Source organism: Homo sapiens, chromosome 6, assembly GCF_000001405.40.
Source record: "Homo sapiens chromosome 6, GRCh38.p14 Primary Assembly".
Lineage (NCBI taxonomy): Eukaryota > Metazoa > Chordata > Mammalia > Primates > Hominidae > Homo > Homo sapiens.
Genome location: NC_000006.12, coordinates 7,233,671 through 7,252,094, shown reverse-complemented (window position 1 = coordinate 7,252,094; position 18,424 = coordinate 7,233,671). Strand labels below are relative to the sequence as shown.

The following is an 18,424-nucleotide window of genomic DNA, read 5'->3' as shown; positions in this document are numbered from 1 at the left end:
GGGCACCTGTGACTCCCCCCAATGGTACTGCACACCTGGGACCTGCCCCAAGTGGGCTGTGGGTTTGGGGATGGGATCACAACAAATCACAGGACGGCCACGTGACCGGCAATCTGCAGCTTTTAAAATATAACATTTATTGCTTAAATGGTTTGATACAGAACAGCTTTCTTCTCATTCTGAATTTGGAAGTTCTATACAACTGAATACAAAGAGGAACAAAAAGTACCAAAACCAAACTTGTGATTCTCTGTTCATGTGGCATAAACCAGTTTTGTACATAACATGTAGCAGCAGTTTTTAAGTTCCCTTTAGAAAAATATGAATTCTACAAATTTATTATTGTTTCCTGTTTAATGCATGGGCTGAAATCACTAGGATCAATTTCCTTCTTGAAGAAAGAGGAGAGGAAAGAGACGAACAGAGGGTCAGAACGCATGGTGAATCTTCCAAAACTGGCATCCGACTGTTACGTAGCTTCCCCAGCGCTGCTTGGAACACAGCCCTCTGGGTTGTTTTGTTTTCACAGCCAGGTGTTTCATGTAGTGATTGAATCTCAGCATCATGTCCATTAATCAATGAGAAAAAAAAAAAAAAAAAAAAAAGAGAAAAAACTTGCACCTCAAAAAACTTTTCAGAAGATCCATATATATATATTTTTTTGTAAAAGCCCTGAGAGAAGGAGAAAGAGAATCAAACAAAATGTATAGAAACAAATTAGCTGGACATGCAAACTAAGCTATGATTCACCCAGAGTTTAAACAAATCACAAATTTCACAGTTTAATATTGGGGGGTGGGGGAAGGGCAAAAACAACAAACAAATAATACGTTTCTCCACCTCACTAATAAAATGTGGCAAGACCTTATTGACTACGAGGGTACAGATCAAGGCTAAGTAAAGCTTTAAATCAATAGTGATTATTGCGAGCGGCAGCCCCAGCTACACACGTCGCTGGGAGCTGATTACTGCTACATCTCACCGCAGCGTAGAGTTTAGTCACAGCTTCTCCCCACAATATTGCAAGTTTAGTGTGGAGAGTCGCAAAGAAAAAACACAAGAAACCCCAAATAATAATAACAACAAAAACAACAATAACAACTGTAATAATAATAATAATAATAATAAAAACCCTAAGGGATGTATGAACTGGTTTTAACTAAGTAGGCCAAGGGATCATTGGTTCTGATTTGCATTCATCTCTACAGTAAATAAAACCTCGTTTTTAAACTGGTTCATACACCCCTAATACAGTTAAAAATCATATATACCTCAACCTTTTTTCCTTTCGTATGCGAAGATATCACTTTTCATTATCTCAAGAATATCTATCTTCCTGTGAAGTCTGGGAGGTTGGATTTCAGAAACTGGTGAAGTGGCGGAGAAAAGGGGGCGTGCACGTTTCTGTGTGAACAAGTCTATGTAAAGGAGGAGCACTGGGGCCAGAAAAGGCCAGGGGAAGGAAGCTGGGGTACAGGGGTGCCTCCCCAGGGGAAGGCAAGAGGCTCCATACACTGCAGCAAGCACAGGGGTCCCCAGCAGCAGGCTGGCTGGGGACCCCTGAGGTCTTGGCTGAGGGACCAGGAGCTCAGGTGCAGTGGGGTACATTCTCCTCCCTGCAGGCGGAGACAGTGAGGGAAGTCTATTGCCTGCACAGGATGCTCATGGGTAAAAATAACCCTGCCTTTTTGCATCCAGGGGTGTGGGCTATTTAAGAAACTAGAAACAGCACATTTATCTTCAAGCACCAACCCCACATCGCAGGAAGGTAAATATAAACCTATTTCTTATCTGACATCTTGCATGTGTAGTTTTATTACCAGTAGTAGTATTTCCTTGCTTTGCAAATGACAGTAGCACAGCTGGGTAAGGCTTGGATTAGGCTTAGCAGGAAGACTGGGAATACCTCGCTCACGAGTAATGTGCCTGGTCACTGGGTCACTGCTTTGCTTTCTCCAAAGTCATCTCTGCAGTGCTCCAGGCACGGCCCTGGCTTCTTGATGCCTGTTCCCTGGATGCATGCATCCTCACTCCACCCTCTCTGAGCTGCTCCTGGACCATGCTTGGGAAGACTGCTCACGGCCCCTTCTAAATTCTGCAGTGACAGAAGAAAGGCTTGTCTCATTACAGTAGAAGAGCTACCACCCGAGGGTGCCAACCACAACCGCAGGCACACGTTAACACGGGGACCTGGGTGCGGCACAGGTCTCCCAGGACAAATATTGCCCATTTGATTCTGCTCACTGCAGAGAACAGCAAACTGATGAACTAATAATAATAATAATAATAATAATATTAATAATACATATACTGAAAGGGAAGAGGAGGCAATCAAATATATCCTATCCGTGCATGTTTTCCATAGGTTAAGACGCCAGGGGAGTAACTCTTCTCTATAGTTAAGAATGGATGTCTTGAAACTTGAACAGTGACCATGTCTAATGCTGACAGACTGGAAATGGACATGAGGCTGAAGCTAGAATCTTCCCTGGTTTTGGCCTGAAACCATATTGGAAACCTTCATCAACCACATCCTGTAATACCAAGGACCAGATGACAGCTCCACCATGAAGCACAAAGAAAAAAGGAAAATGTCTATTTAAGAAATTATCATCTTATCCATCTTTCCTCTGGTCATTTACATGAAATTCACATCATTTTCTTCCAGTTATTGGCTATGGGTACCCAAGGGTATGTTTTTTCCTTCTGTTTCCAGCTCACAGAACAAACGGTGCTATCACAGATTCACAAGAACAAGCTCACACACACCAATACAAAATAACGCTAATGCTCAAATGAAGAGGTCCTCTCCAGACAATTCATTATAATATTTGTTTTGTTTAAGAAGTCATTTTGGAAAAATACAACACCCATGATAATATGGAGGGATCCGGTAAGTAGTTAAGGCACTGGAATCGGCACGGGCTGTGGCCTCCCGCGCAGGCTGCGGTAAGGCTATGGCACTGAGCGAGCAGCCACGCTCCTGCTTGTCTCTCTCTCTCTCTCTCTCTCTCTCTCTCTCTCTCTCTCTCACTCCTCAACAGCCAAAGGGCACTGAGGAAACCCCATGAAGTATAGACGCTTTGCTCTGCTGGCTTTTGTCTGTGCTGAGGGGGACTGAGGCTGTCACTCCATCCCCACGAGCTGGGAGGCGCCATCAGCTGTGGCCAGGATTGGGTGGGCAGGCCTCTTGCTGCGCGGCTCCAGCAGGTCCTGCCCCAGGGCCGCCGGGCTCTCTGGGTTAAGGTCACCCTGGCCAGGCTCAGACGGCCACCCTGCCGTGACCTTCTCCTCCCTGTGGCTGCAGTCCTTGGTGGCACTGGCCAAGCCCTCCTTCCGGCTCCGGGTGACAGCCATGTGGTTGCTGGCATTGGGAGCCAGCTCAGCCTCGTTCTCTGAGACGGCGTTGTTGCCGCTGTGGGTGGACTCATTCTCGCTGTCCTCCTCACCCCGCTCTTCCTTGTCGCTGTCCTTCCCGTGGTGTTTGGCATGCCTGGCTTTCTGGTGGATCCGCTGGTGGCGAACCAGGCTGTGCTTCAAGGTGAAGGTTCGCTCGCAGGTCTGACATTTGTATGGCCTTTCCCCTGGAACAATGGAAGAAAGAATTTCCATTAACCAAAAGGCACCAGTACCCACTGCACCCTGCTCTGCACAGGAAGAATGAGGCTCCCAGGCTATGTGCGGGGGGCCAGGACTCCGTCCTACTCAGCCAGAGGCCTCTTCCTTGAACCAGCAAACTGAGGACGGACAAGCTCTGTTTGCTGGTTCAAGCTGTCAGTCTGAGACCTTTCCTCTCCTTCCTCTCTCAGCCCAGGCACTCTACATACTGATCCAGAAAACCCAGGTCCCAGAAGCAGAAGCCTCAGGAGATGTGCAGACTGGCCTCGACCAGAGACTGGGAAGGAATCTAGAGGGGGACAGGAGTGGACCCTCTCAGGGATCTGTATGGACAGCAGCACCTAGGTCGGGGGCACCAGTTACCCTCTGCATTGCGATGTGGTGCAGCGGGGGCTTTCCTGATGGCTCACACGCCAGGCCCAGGGCAGGGCCCACCACGCTTGTTGGGAGCCCAAGAATATCCCTCTTCTGAGAGCCAAGGACCCTGGCCCTTCACACGGGCAAGCGCAGGGCAGAGCCGACTGCGCTGGGTCGGGGCACATGTGTTCACTGCGGGCTGCAGCTGTGACAGGGAGGGAAGCTGCGGCTGAGAGGAGGGACAGGTTATTTTGGAAAGAAGAAGGATATATCTCTGGACTCCATGAGCATATTCAGGTCTTTGTGTCAAAGTAAGCGCCCCTGCTCTGGGGTCTGCAGCCTCCACCCTGCAGGTGGTGGGTGAACTCTAGAACGGTGTGAAGGGCAGTGGCTAAGGGTCCTGTCCCAGTCATCTCAGCCGAACTGCACGGCTAAGAAAGGAAAAGGCCCTCCTGACCCTAATGGATCACCCAGGGTGCCTGCCCCACAGCGGCCTGGGGCAGTGCCTGTCGTCCAGGCCACAGGACTAGACAGGACTAAGTGGCCCAAATGCCCAGCACAAGCACCCTCTCCTAGATACCTCTATGAAACAGGGCAGCTGTTACCCCCACTCTACAGATGGGGAGGCGGAGGCAGCAGAGCTAAAGGCGGATCACAGCGTTCTCAAAAACACAACGGCCAAGGACCCTCTCCTGCCTGGCTGCAGGAGGCCTGCACCGTCTTCAAGGGCTGAGAGTACAACTCCTTAAAACTCCTAGTTCACGGGCTTAAAGGGCACACCGGCAACGTAAGCAAACGTTCTCTCGGTGGCCTCCAGCGCCGCTTCAGGGGAGCTCCTAGGAGAGGTGCCCGGCTCGCCTCCTCTTGTTGGGCCGGGGACCTGGCCTGCCCTGGTTACCTGTGTGGGAGCGCATGTGCCGGGTCAGGTCCTGCAGCGACCAGAACCGCTTGTTGCACACGCTGCAGACCTTCTTCCTCTTGTCTGCCTTGCTGGCCACGCTTTTGGGGGAGTCTGTCTTTGGTTTCTTGTCATCGTCGCTCTTCTCTGAGGACCTTTTCTCGGCCGCGCTCTCCCCGTCGGAGGGGCCCTCCGTCTCCTCCGCGAGCTTTTCCGCCGGGGCCTCCCCGGCACCCGGGGCCGACTCCACCACCTCTGCCGGGGTCTCGGGGGGCTTCTCCTCCTGTTCAGGGGCGGGCTGGGGCCCCTCCTCTGCAGTGCTGGCGCCATCTCCCTTCTCGTCCTTGGGCTCCTGGCGGCCGTGCGCCTTCCGGTGGCGGCTCAGGGTGCCCAGGAACTTGAAGCTCTTCCCACAGGTGTCGCAGGCGAGCTTCTGCTCCTGCGAGGCCGCGCCCCCGGCGCCTGCCTCGCCGTCGCCCTCCGCCAGCTTGAAGTCCATGAGCTTGGTGGCGAAGTCCAGGTCCAGGCTCTGGTTGCTCGACGCGTCCTCTTCCGCGCCGTCGGCGTCCCCAGTGCTCTCCTCAGTGCCATGCTCCTCCTCCGGCTCATGGCTCTCCCCACGCCCGTGCTCTTCCCGGTGCACCGGCGAGGCCGTTTCCGCCGTGGCCTGCTCCACAGGCGCATCCCCTGCGACCTGGCGGAGCTCAGTGGCGCCCTCCGACGGCTGCTCTCTGTCCCGTGAGGTGAGGTCTAGCACTTCGCCCGCGGCGGCTGCAGTCTCCGCATCCGACTGACTGTCTGTGGGGCAAGCACAGCGGGGAGGGCTCAGAGGGGCACCACCAGGTACGCCCATGCCAGGGATGTCGCCGGGAATGGGCTAGACCCACGCCAGCAGCCTGAACCCCAAACCAGTGAGGACTTCTTTCGGCCCAAATCCTCACCACCTGTTACATCCCCCAGGAGGACCAAGATGACCCTGGGGACGTGAAGAAAGGCAAAAGCAGCCTCCACATCACCTCAGGTGTGTTCCCAGGGCTGGCTGTGCCCCTGAACCCCTGGCTTCCACTGCCCCCGCCCCCAGGAAGGTGTGAGTGACTCAGGCAGGGCAGACAGGGGCTGCGAGATAGGAGAGGGGTGCATTCCAGAGACTCGCAGCGCTAGGGAAGTTGAGGAAGCTTGAGTTATAAGTTATTTTTCCAGTGCAAAGAGATCATACAAACATGCAACATACACAGGACCACCCCTACCCCTAATCCTCCAAAGCATGGTCTTGATGAGTTTCACAGGAAACGACCCCAAGCCTGCGTTGTGTGTGTATGGTATGCACACTCTTGCCTGACGCTCATCTCCAGGTGGAGGCTGCAGAGACCCAAGGGGGCGCAGGCAAGCTTGTAGGCTTCCTAGCTGTCAGCCTCCCAGGGGTGGTGGAATCTTTCAAAGGAAGGGCACCCTTGATGCCAGGCTTGGCAACAGCACACAGTGAGGGGAGCGGACTGTGAAGGGCTGTGGGTGCCTGTGAAGACAAGGGGTTCTGGGTTCCAGGCATCTCACCTACCCTGACTTCCTGCCTCTTGATTTGTTCCTATCTGTCCATTCCACCCAGTAAAACTGTATGTGGAAAGCCTATCAGTTTTCAACAGTCCTTTTAAGGGATGGCACGGCTGCAATATTCACATCAAACAGTGTCAAAAGGCCTTCTCTTTACTAAGGTTGAAAGAAGACTTAATAACTTCTTAAAATTATGCATTACGACAGTACATTGGAAGCTGGTGGGACCTATTATTTAGCTGCAGATCCTATGTCTGATTTAGTTTTTATTATTTTTTCAAGACGGAGTTTCGCCTTGTCGCCCAGGCTGGAGTGCAATGGTGTGATCTCCACTCACTGCAACCTCCACCTCCCGGGTTCAAGCAATTCTCCTGCCTCAGCCTCCCAAGAGCTGGGATTACAGGCGCCCACCACCACGCCCAGCTGATTTTTGTATTTTTAGTAGAGATGGGGTTTCATCATGTTCGCCAGGCTGGTCTCGAACTCCTGACCTCAGGCGATCTACCCACCTCAGCCTCCCAAAGTGCTGGGATTACAGGCGTGAGCCACCGTGCCCGGCCACTGTCTGATTTATTACTGCAGGGATTCAAGTTCCTCTGATAATTGGGTGGATGAAAGTCATTGTTTTATGGCACAAGTACGAGATGCCCCTCCCTCAATAGGCCAGATGTGATTGCAGTCCTTGAGCCAGCAGATTCACGCACCTAACCTGGATTCTCACTTGACGTGATCAGGTGTAACTACAATGTCAACCTGCATCCATCACACCTCCTCAATGTCACATGCTTGATGATTTGCCATCAAGGCGGTCAGGAGGGCTGGGGTAAGGAGCTGGTTCTGCCCCGTCCTGAGGTCTGAGGAGACAGTACCTACTGTTCACACCTGCTTGGGGCTTTAGGCTTTACCCACAGCCATCTGCATAACGCGGCTACTTACATCATTTCATTTCATTAGTTTTACACTGACTGCACTTTTTGGCAGCCACTGTTTGGGTATCTCAAGAGGTTTCAGAAAGAAATATTATGGTGTGAATATAACATTTTAAAGAAGAAATGATTTTGCAAAATTATCCAAAAGCTTAAAGAATATGAGTCCTGGGATATGCACACCAATGTCTGGGCCACATTCCAAGGAAAAACTAGATGTTCGTTTTTCTTGAATCATTTCAACAGAGAGCATCTATAGAATGGATATTGGTATAAACTCTACAATAAAAATACAGAACGCTCAATTTGTTTGCTGGCTTTGTGGGTAATTTCCCTCCCTAGAGTCAGGGTCTCCCTATGTTGCCCAGGCTGGTCTCGAACTCCTGGGCTCAAGGGGTCCTCCTGCCTTGGCCTCCCAAAGTGCTGAGGTTATAGGCATAAGCAACTGTGGCTGGCCTTTGTAAGTAATTTTTTTTTTTTTTTTTGAGATGGAGTCTTGCTCTGTCACCCGGGCTGGAGTGCAGTGGTGCAGTCTCAGCTCACCGTAACCTCTGCCTCCTGGGTTCAGGCGATTCTCCTGTCTCAGCCTCCCAAGTAGCTGGGATTACAGGTGTGAGCCACCATGCCCAGCTAATTTTTGTATTTTTAGTGGAGACAGGGTTTCACCATGTTGGCCAGGCTGGTCTCAGAACTCCTGACCTCAGGTGATCCACCTTCCTCGGCCTCTAAAAGGGCTAGGATTACAGGCATGCGCCACCACGCCCGACTGGTAATTTTTAAAAGAAGGTTTAATCTCTGGTTACTTCCCCTTTGTCCCCAGTATATCCTAGACTACACTTCTATTTTTTTTTTTTCAGCAAAGAACATGCATTATTTTAACTGCACAGAACATATTTAACATGATAGAGCTTTAAAGAAAGTAAAATAAATTTTGAAACAAAACCCAAAGAAATATAAGATCAAATTGTTCCTGCTCTCGGGCCCTTCCTTTGCGCGGATAATGGAGAGAGATCACCCGGAGTACAATGAAAGGCCAACTCCCTCTTTGGACACAGGGGGCTTGGTTGTATTCTACCAAACTCCCACTAGGGGGAGTGTTTTAGCAGTGTAGGCTGTGCCCTTCACATTCTAAACAACTGATTTTCATTAGTGATTCTCATGAACAAAAAACTTCACCTCTTCACCTATCATGAATACTCAACTTATAAGGCCAGGTGCTGTATAAATCCCCGCCCTCAACACCCAGACTCCCAAATGCAGGTAGCTGAGCTGATGACTTTTTATAAGCAATGCTACCTTAAAAATATGCAGTTCTTCCCTCTCCCCATCAGTCCCTCGGTTTGTGTTGTTCAACAACTAAGAAAACTGTTAGAGGAAGCAGAAGGAATCCTGGTAGATAATAAACCCGCAGCTCCTCCTACAGGACTGTGGAGACAGCCCTAGTCAGCTCAACAATTAAAGATCTATTGCTTCCTAAAAATTAAATGAGCCTCAACCACTGTGACAGACTACCAACCTAAGTAATTATCTGACCTGGCAGGGGTGCCTTTGCAGGGGAAGCTGCTGTGTCTGCACTCCACCCAAAGCATCTGAGGATGGAGAGGGTTTCCTGAGGTGTAGTCCATGCTGACATGTGGGACTTCTGGGCTGGTAAAGGCGGCCACCATTAAGGGAGAGCTTAAACACTTTCATGTTTATACGAATTAAAAACAGCCCTATGTAGGTGCCTACAAACACAAAGACGGGGCATCATCGGAGGAAGGACCAAGGGCATATCCCTCAAGGGCAGAGGGGGCCAGGCTGCCTCTCTGTCCAGGACAGTGAATGAAGAATTTCAGTTGAAATTTGAATATTCAAAATGGACCTTTAAGGGAGAACTGCCCCCACTGTGGCATTTTTAGCATTCTTTTGGGGGACTTTATGAGACTGAAAAATGTCAGACCTACATTATAAAACATGTGTAGGAATTTTAAGAAAATGCCACCTAGGCATACAAGCCTAGAAAACCCCTCAAGGACCTCCTTGGTCATTTCCTTCCCCCCCCCCCTTTTTTTTAAGTGGTCTTCCTTCAAAGCCTCACTTTTTAAACTTCACTGGGGGGGGGGAACCCAGAATGAAGGCTTCACCCCATGTCCATCATGCTCATCTGCATTTTAAAATCCTCCTTGAAATCACTAAACTCTGCCTCCCTAAACTTTTCCCTCCCACTTAAATCTCAGTCCCTTTTCTCACCATGGACTGTGACCACAACTAAACCAAACATGTATTTTCTCTTTGCTGGTTTCACATTACAACTTTCAGTGACTTTTCTTTTTCTAGAGGCTTTGTCCCTTCAAGGAACCCTATATAACTTCCGGGGTGGGGTGGAGGTGGGAAAGGGCTTTGTTGGGATTTGGACAACAAAACCTATGACTGCAAACTTATAAATACACTTGGTGCTGAACCGAAGCTAAGACCACAAATTCCGACTCAGCTTTGTGTCTGCAGATGTCAGCAGGAGCCCCAGTCTTTGTTCCTCCCTTATGATAAAGAAGCTGAATGCAAAATGCACATCCAGCACGGAGTTACTAAGACTTATTTGTAAACATGGAAACCCAAGGGCTCCCCCTCAGCTCCCTCAGTTACCGGCTGCTTTCGCTACTGTGGAACCACTATGGGAAGATCACAGGGCAGCTTTCTAAACCAGGATGAAAGAAAATGTTCCAGACTAACAGGTAATGTGGCGGCTGATGGTTAAACATTAACAGGATGGTCTGCAGCAAACGCGTGCCTGCCAGCACTGGTGTGCGCTTCCAGTGGGCTGAACTCCAGGTCATCTTTGGCTCACAGGGGTCCAAGTTAGGCTAAGATTCCGTGGGCACCCACATCTTTCTTCACTCAAAGATACTGGTGAGTTATGTGGAAGTGGAAGCTGGGGAAGCAGTGAACAAACCAGCTTACCCTTTCATACCCTCAGAGGATCTGATCTAGACTGGCGGTTGGGCAGTCAAGAGCACTCACAGTTGGTTTCACTAGGGCTCAGTGGGAGGCGTAGAGATGGGCAAAGGGTGGCCTCTCCACTTCAGATACACCCTGTACCCCTGTAACCAAGGTAAGGACAAGGGGCTAAGATTAATGCCCAACCCTCTTCCACACTGACTCCTGAGGCAGGGGTGCCTCGTAACTACAGGGCACCCCATCTCCACCCTAGTCTGAGGAATAGAAGCCACAGGACGCAAATACAACCCTAAAAAAACACAGCTGGGGGGATCTCTTCGCAGCCACAAGATAGTGTCAGGTTTTCAAGACTTGCAAAACTGGACCCAGCACCATGATGCTGTCCCTGTTACTAATCAGTGCCAACTGGCGGGATATCTAAGTGGCCTGCAGCAGGCTGGCTTTCGTTTTGTTTGCTCTTGGGGGTGAGGATGGAGAACCCCAGCAGTCCGAGCGGATGGAGTGTACTGATAGAGGACATGAGTAAATTCAGAAACTATAAGGGAAACAAGGTGGCACAAGACGTATCGGGCAGCCGTTAATTGCTCTGTGGGTGCTGGAGGGAGGAAGCACACATCAGCACAGGAGAATAATACCCGGATTCAGGTCAAGCAGAGATGTGATTAAAGAAAGGACATGCACAGTGCTTTTTCAAACAAGGACAGTCTTACACCGGGAAGAGAGTTATTGAAAAGAAGAACACCGCACCCCTCGTTCCTACAATACCCTGATATCCCAGGGAGCCCAGGCCTGCTCCCGAGGAGGCTGCAGCGGCTAAGGCTCCCCAAACCTTTAGGTTTCACATCCCCTTTAGATGAGTTCATACCCAGGGCTAAAGTTGTAAGCCTTCCCATACATCCCACCTCCCAACATCGGGAACAAAGGCCTCTTCTGCCAAGAGGGTGACAGATCTTCCCTAGCAGCCCCGAGAGTCACCGAGGGGCACTGTCACTGTTTTCTGCTGTCTGTCTAGGCGATCTGACCCAGGAGTTATACTCCCTCCCAATCATCAGCAGGGCCTGCCTTTCTATTAACAGGCTGTGGGCTCTGAATCCTACAGAGAAGTGAACAAGCAGCCCCTCCACAGCTCGGACTGGAGTTTGCTACAATTCTTAACCGAACTCCTCTCTCTCCCTCTTCCTGGGTTCTTGTTCACCTGGCGGCACTACCTGTGCTATCATGGGATCCAACATCACTCTCTTTTGACTGGGGGATAAGCCCGTTTCTTCTCAGGGAACAGGTGGTAACTCCGTGTTTGCGCAACTGGTGGCGTTCACAGTTAGATTTGGTAGAAAAGAAGGCATCGCATTTTTGACAAGGGAAGGGTTTCTGACCTGAAGCAGGAAAAAAAATATATATTTATCTGGCTTTCTACTGCAATGAAATAGAAAAGTCGCTTTTGTTTATTCTCCTGGGATCATTGGCAGTTGTTCCCCCCTCCTCCATCCCTTCAAGAAAATTAACAAAACACATTAGAAAAAAAAAAACCATCAATGACTAAAATGATCATTCTCCCTTTTCCTAAGTTGAATGGAATATGAATTTTTGTCCTCAAAATACTAAAATAAATGAAACTGAAAAATATACATTTAAAGTAAAACAACGGTATTACAATTAAAATATTAACGACAACAAAAAAAAGCGAATGAAGAGATTTTAGAGCACAGCAAGAAAACACCTATATTCTATCACAAAGAGAAAGACGCCCTCTAACGAGTTCTAGTGTGGCAAGGACACCGTAATATGGACACTAGGAAATCCAATGGGGAACCCCTGGGTATCTTTGGGGGCCCATGAAGAGAAGAAGTCAGGGACAGCCCCCAGCCAGGGTGGCCAGTCCCCCTTCCTGGCCTTGGTGGCTGTGTCCCTCCCACAGGGGAACGGGAGCAGTGAGTTCTGACTTCCCAGGACAACTCCTGTCTGACTTGCCGAGACATCCTGCAGTGACCTCTGTTCAAGTTCACTGTGGTCCTAGGTGGCAACAGTCAGGAGATCTTCTCATTAAAGGTTCTTTGTTCCCCCTGCTCCAAGCTTGGTTGCAAATGAGTGACCAATACGTAACTATGTCTGCATTTGATCATGTGCTCCACTCAACAGATGTGCATGTGAAGAGGACATTTTGGCAGCCCTGCCTCGCCCCTAGACCCATCCCAAACGCACAGATGGGTGAGCCACTGAGAGAGGCACAGTCCCCTCCTGCTTTGGTCTGCCTACCCTCTCCTTTTACTTGGATTCCTTTTGTGCTGTAAACATCATGTTTCAAAATGCAATAGAAGCTCCTCTACAACTTGTCCTGGGTTTGTGCGGATGCATGTGAGGGAGAAAGAAAGCACAAGGGAAAAAGGAGGTGGAGAGGAAAAGAGAGGAGGAGGGAGGGGATCAGGGGCCTTCAGGAGGCGGAAGTTGGTGGTGCATCACTTGTGTATCACTGAATTCCTCCCTTTCCCCCAAGTTGCTGGAGTCCAAGGTCCCAGTTGCTAATGTTACAGGGTAAAAGGTTTTGTGTGTTAACCAACATGACTTCAGAGCTGGGGCCCAGTACTTTTGTCTCATAACCCTAGGATTGCCACAATTAAACACAGCTCCCTGGAAACACAGATCACAGGGGCCTCTGGCGTTAGATTAATGTCGATAGAAGCCTGAACTAGTGCAGGTGCCCAAGGCCACGCACTCCCCTGTGAATGCACAGCAAGGGCCTGGCACCTGGGGACCAGCCAGAGGGGCCACGTGTTTTCCCAGGGGAAGGAGGGACTAGCCTTAACCGGCACTGGCTGTGTCACACGACTCCAGGGGGCGCCATTCATACAGAGCCTGAAGGTGTGGACCTGGCACCGCCCCCATGACAGCATGGCCACAATTTCACATCAGGAGTAATAATCAGAGACAGGGGACATTGATTCCCTCCTGAGCTAAAAGACCCTTTAAGATGATGCTTACAAATCTCCTCAGGCGCTTTTAAGAATAAAGATGCAACAATCAAAGACAACAGAATTAGAAACCCGGAAAGGGCAGAATCAGACACCCAGAAATCCGGCCTGTGTGCTTCTGAGTAGCTCCACAAGGCAACCTGAACAAAAGTGGAGAACCCCACTGACTGTTTTCAGGGTCTCCTCATATCATTCTGCAGGTGTTTTCTGCAAAATTTATTTTTAAAACATCCACATTAAAAAAAAAAAGTGTGACTAGTTGTACAGTATGTCAGTGTTCATGGTGCGTCTTCCAAATTACTTCTTGTGGTCATGTGCGGTGGCTCACGCCTGTAATCCCAACACTGTGGGAGGCCAAGGTGAGCAGATCACTTGAGGCCAGGAGTTCAAGACCAGCCTGGCCAATACGGTGAAACCCCATCTCTACTAAAAATACAAAAATTAGCTAGGCATGGTGGTGCACACCTTAATCCCAGCTACTGGGGAGGCTGAGGTGGGAGGATTGCTTGAGCCTGGGAGGCGGAGGTGGCAGTGAGCAGAGATTGTGCCACTGCACTCTAGCCTGGGCGACAGACAGACTCTGTCTCAAAAATAAAATAAAATGAAAAAAATTACTTATTGTTTTTCATTTAAAATTGAACACAGTATTTAATAATTTCAAGTAAAAATAAAGTACTTTTAACATTTTATTGTCAAAAGGTAACACTGCTGCTTCTCTGAGTCTGGCCAGATTGAGAAAAGAACTGGGCCAAGAGGAAAACAAGTAAGAAGCTACTATGATAGGATTCTTGATTTCAAAGAAAACAATCGGCTTCTCGCTCCCCCCTGTCACATGGTTTACTCTGTAATTTTCACACTGGTAAGTGCGTCACCTTTACAGTTGGTTAGGACTGCCAGGCTGACGTCCCCATGAGAAGGTCCCTATTAATGCTAAATTCAGAAAACAATCCATGATGTGAAAGTATTGCATCAAACTACAAAGGCTCCCAAAGTGACATAACAACTCACATGAGTCATTAGAAGCTCACATTTCACTGCGTAAGTCTGACATTTTTACATAGTGGTGGGCTCTCTGGATTGCAGGGATGCAGGAAAACGGGCCCGTTTAGTATTTTATAATAACGCAGGTTTCAAAAACACTTGTTGGCCAGCCATCTATATAGAAAGTAGCAAATGATTCTATTTATTTGGTAGCTGCCACGAATAACTGCTTTAGAAGGGGATTTGTAAAAGCACCTGTAACCACAGTGAGTTACCTGCGCACTCAGGACCTACAGCATTCTGCAAGCCCCAACGCGAGCGCTTAAACCATCAGCCAGCTGGGCAGAGTGGCTCATGCCTATAATCCCAGCACTTTGGGAGGCCAACGGAGGTGGATCGCTTGAGCCCAGGAGTTTAAGACCAACTTGGGCAACACAGTGAGACCTTGTCTCTATAACAAATAATAATAAAAAAAAAAGGCCGGCACGGAGGCTCACACCTGTAATCCTAGCACTTTGGGAGGTCGAGGCTGGTGGATTACCTGAGATCGGGAGTTCAAGACCAGCCTGGCCAATGTGGTGAAACCCTGTCTCTACTAAAAATACAAAAAATTAGTTGGGTGCAGTGGCGCGCACCTGTAATCCCAGCTACTCTGGAGGCTGAGGCAGGAGAATCGCTTGAACCCGGGAGGCAGAGGTTGTGGTGAGCCAAGATCACGCCACTGCACTCCAGCCTGAGCTACAGAGCAAGAATTTGTCTCAAAAAATAAAAAAATTAGCCAGGCATGGTGATGTGCACTTGTAGTCCCAGCTACTTGGGAAGCTGAGGCAGGAGGATCACTTGAACTCAGCCAGGAGTTCAAGGCTGCAGTGAGCTGTGATCATGCCACTGTACTCTAGCCAGGGTGCACACAGGCACTCTAGCTTGGGTGACAGGGTGAGAGCTTGTCTCAAAAAAAAAAAAAAAAAAAAAAAAACCTCCAAAAACAAACAAAAAAAATTAGCCAGTGTTTACTCTCCCAGAACAGTCAAGAAACGAAGAAGGACATTGGGGCAAGAGAAGAGTGAACAGTGAGAATAGTTTGATGAGGAGATTGGGGCCTTGGCCTCCAAGATAAAAAAAAAAAAAAACAGAACTGAAAACATTTCTGTTCATTTTTCAAAGACAATCAGGGTTAGAAAGGTGGGGTCTAACTAGCATAGAAAACCTTGCAGTTGCTTTTCTTTTTGTAACAAGATGACAGCCTGAGCAGCCCAGCCTTCTCTCCATTGCTCCTCCACCCCTGCAGGCAGGTTTCTTTCTTTTGGTATTTTCTCTCTGTATTTGGCAGAAGTGTACACAGGACTGGGTACAAACGGCCAAAGCTGTCTTTTAAGAAAGCTAAAAGGAGCCAAATACAAGTGGTGTCCCAGGTGCTTTCCACACCCAGGTTTGGATGACTCACTGACCGAAGCTCTGACCCTCACTGCCAGATAGAAGCAGGGAGGAAAGGGTGTGGGGGGAAAGCCTGAGCCGGCTCAAAAAAGGCGCTCAAAGCACCCATGAGAAAGTAAGCAAGCCAGGGAAGCCCGGAATGGACACCCCATAGTCCCAAGCCCATCACTGTGGGACAAGGAACTGGAGCAAAGGGAAGGGGGAAGAAAATGAGGACAGAGGCTAGAACAGACTGGCTGTGTTTCCTGGCACCCTCTCCTCCACCTGTGGCCTAAAAACACACGAGATGCTCCCGAGGGGTAAAGGCAGGAACAGTGCACTCTTGTCTCCTATGGAGTGGCGCGTTTAGGTAGAGAAAGGTAAGGAACCAGGAACTGTCCTCATCAGCAGGAAAGTATGGTCTGGGAGAGAGCTGGAGAGGAGTGGAAGGAAGGAGGAAAGGCAGGTGTGTGTGGAGACTGTGCCAGGGGGTATGAAAAATGACAGCCCTGCCAGCTTCCTCATCAAACACAGTTCCTGGAACCTGAGCCGGGAGCAAGAAAAGGCTGAGGCCACATGCTCCTTGCCAGCAGCCAGCAGGTATACCCCTCGTTGGACACTGAACACCGGATCTGCTTCTTGCTGCCCCTTTGAGGACTGGGAGGACTGGAGAACACGTGTTTTGAGACAAAGTAGAGACAGTACAGTAATCTGCTGAGGGGGTAGGAGGAGGCCAGCATTCAAGGTGTAGACAGTTTGTTTAAATGCAGTCCAAAACCAGATGCTGCTCAATGCTTCTGGCTGGAACTCAGCTAGATTTTAACACTGTACTCAAAAACACAAAACGGCCAGGCACCGTGGCTCACGCCTAAAATCCCAATACTTTGCAAAGCTGAGGAGTTCGAGAACAGCCTGGGTAACATGGTGAGACCTTGTCTGTACAAAAGCAAAAAACTAGAAAAAACAAAAATACCCCACAGAACATCTTCTCCGAATAACACCTTTGTTTGCAGGGTGGCTGCAGAGTCAATGTTTAACATGTGTACACTCAAGACTTTTTTCAAAGTTTTGGAGACAGCGCCTCACAGAAGCCTAGGGAGCCAAGGATCCATGTGGTTCTGAGTGACAGCAGAGCTGCCTACCAGGAGAAAGATCAGGTCTGTGGGCTGAGGGGCCATCAGGTGACTTCCCAGGCTCCTTCCAGCTCTAATGCTCCGTGAATGGAAAATGCTCTAACACGACACTGGATGTAGCCAAGTGCTCCATATAACATGATTTAGCAGTGGTGATGCTGAACATCCCTGGAAGCTGAGAGTGAAGCCCAGCAAAGGAAATTAATGGAGCTCAATGGGCACCAACCTTCATACAGTGTCTATGCATGTGGCTAACACGATTCTGTAGTCATTAAGTCTGAAATTAGCTAATAACATTCTGATCCACAGTGGTGTCCCCCCTTATCTCAAACTACTTCCAAACCTTCTGCAATGTGGACATGTGGGAACACAGGGAGACATGGAAGGTGCACTCTGCCCGCCTTCTGCCTTCACACAGAGGACACACTGGGCACACACACCCTGACCAGTGGGCAGTTGCACAGAACCGGACCCTGGCTTGGAACAGTAGCTCCATCTCTTATTCCCCATATGGCTGTAGGCAAGTTACTTAGCTCCTTAAAAGTAAACCTCAATTTCCTTGTGGCAACACATGGATGACATCACCCTCACAGGATTGTCATGAAGACTAGCTCTACCAAGAACATATTATGGTAGGATACAGGGACTGCGCCAAAGCAGACACATCTATCAAGGTTATCAATAACTTTTAAGGGACAAGAGGCAGAATGTTTATATTTATATCTACCCCATCCTAACTTAAACAAACCTCCTGCTTTCTTGCTCAGTTTCAGATGCTACTAAATTTTAAACCAACACTGACATTTTGGCATTCAAAAGCCAGGCAATCATGACTGGATTCACAAATGGGAACACATATCAGGCACCTGCAAAGACATGGGCACAACTCTTAAAAAAGAAAATACTAGAAGAGGAAGATGGGGAGGTTGGGTGACAGCAGGGGGAGGTGGGAGCACCGAGGAAGGGGGCGAGCCAAGCCAATCATCAGATCCAGACCATCTGCTTTCTGAAAAGTGGTAACAGAAAGACTCACTTCTCCATAAACTCTCAGTAGGCGATAAACAGGTGGCACCCAAAAAAGGGTAGCAAAAGACATTGCTATAAGGGGCACCTTCTCTTGAAGATGCATTTTCTTCCCTGAACTGCTGTCATCATTAGAATGGTTGCTTTACTTGTCAGGCTTAAACTATTTTAACAGGGAGACAGTGGTATGAAAGGGCAGTACATACTTTACAAATCTAGAAATCCTGGTTCTCCTTGAGTCCTCCCTGGATAGGCACTCCTGACTTGCTACTCCTCAATCCCTGGATTCAAGGACCCACCACAGCAGAAGGAAATGCCGTGTCTGTGTGGCAAGCTCTGGTGACCAGTGCAGCCACTGAGAGTCCTATCGCTCCCAGCCACAACTCCCCTCTGGCTCCCAGATTCCTCTCCCTCCCCAGGCTCCATTCTGCACACTGTTCAGGTATCCAGCGGTGGCTCCATGACCTCCCTCCTGCTGTTCCACCTCATCTAGGAGAAACATCCTTCCACGAGCTTCTCCAAAGCTTTGTGAATGCATTTCCACCTGGACACAGAGCACAGCTCACACCAATTCCCACAACCCACCCTCAACATCCTGTCATAAACCTCCTGACTACCTTGGGT

The 18,424-nt window shown here is 49.2% G+C and overlaps 1 protein-coding gene across 4 annotated transcripts in view, besides 2 other annotated features; it reads right to left on the bottom strand.

Moving 5' to 3' along the window:
- The window catches only part of RREB1 (ras responsive element binding protein 1), a 144,238-nt gene continuing 125,928 nt past the window's right edge, over positions 115-18,424 (bottom strand). For 2 of the 4 annotated variants that reach the window (NM_001168344.2, NM_001003698.4), the window contains exons 11-12: positions 4,874-5,671; positions 115-3,584 (exon numbers count right to left, since the gene is read on the bottom strand). In NM_001168344.2, coding sequence (NP_001161816.1) covers positions 3,127-3,584; positions 4,874-5,671 — 1,256 coding nt within the window. In that variant the 3' untranslated portion in view covers positions 115-3,126. Of the gene's footprint in view, positions 3,585-4,873; positions 5,672-11,492; positions 11,658-18,424 lie in introns of all 4 variants that reach the window. The other 2 variants (NM_001003699.4, NM_001003700.2) reach the window with 2 other exon arrangements.
- Positions 15,492-15,591: an enhancer, noted in NCBI's record as "active region_23942". NCBI's record gives its function as "activates an Ori minimal core promoter by ATAC-STARR-seq in GM12878 lymphoblastoid cells {active_cell/tissue: GM12878}" and the evidence as "EXISTENCE:reporter gene assay evidence [ECO:0000049][PMID:35858748]".
- Positions 15,872-15,971: an enhancer, noted in NCBI's record as "active region_23941". NCBI's record gives its function as "activates an Ori minimal core promoter by ATAC-STARR-seq in GM12878 lymphoblastoid cells {active_cell/tissue: GM12878}" and the evidence as "EXISTENCE:reporter gene assay evidence [ECO:0000049][PMID:35858748]".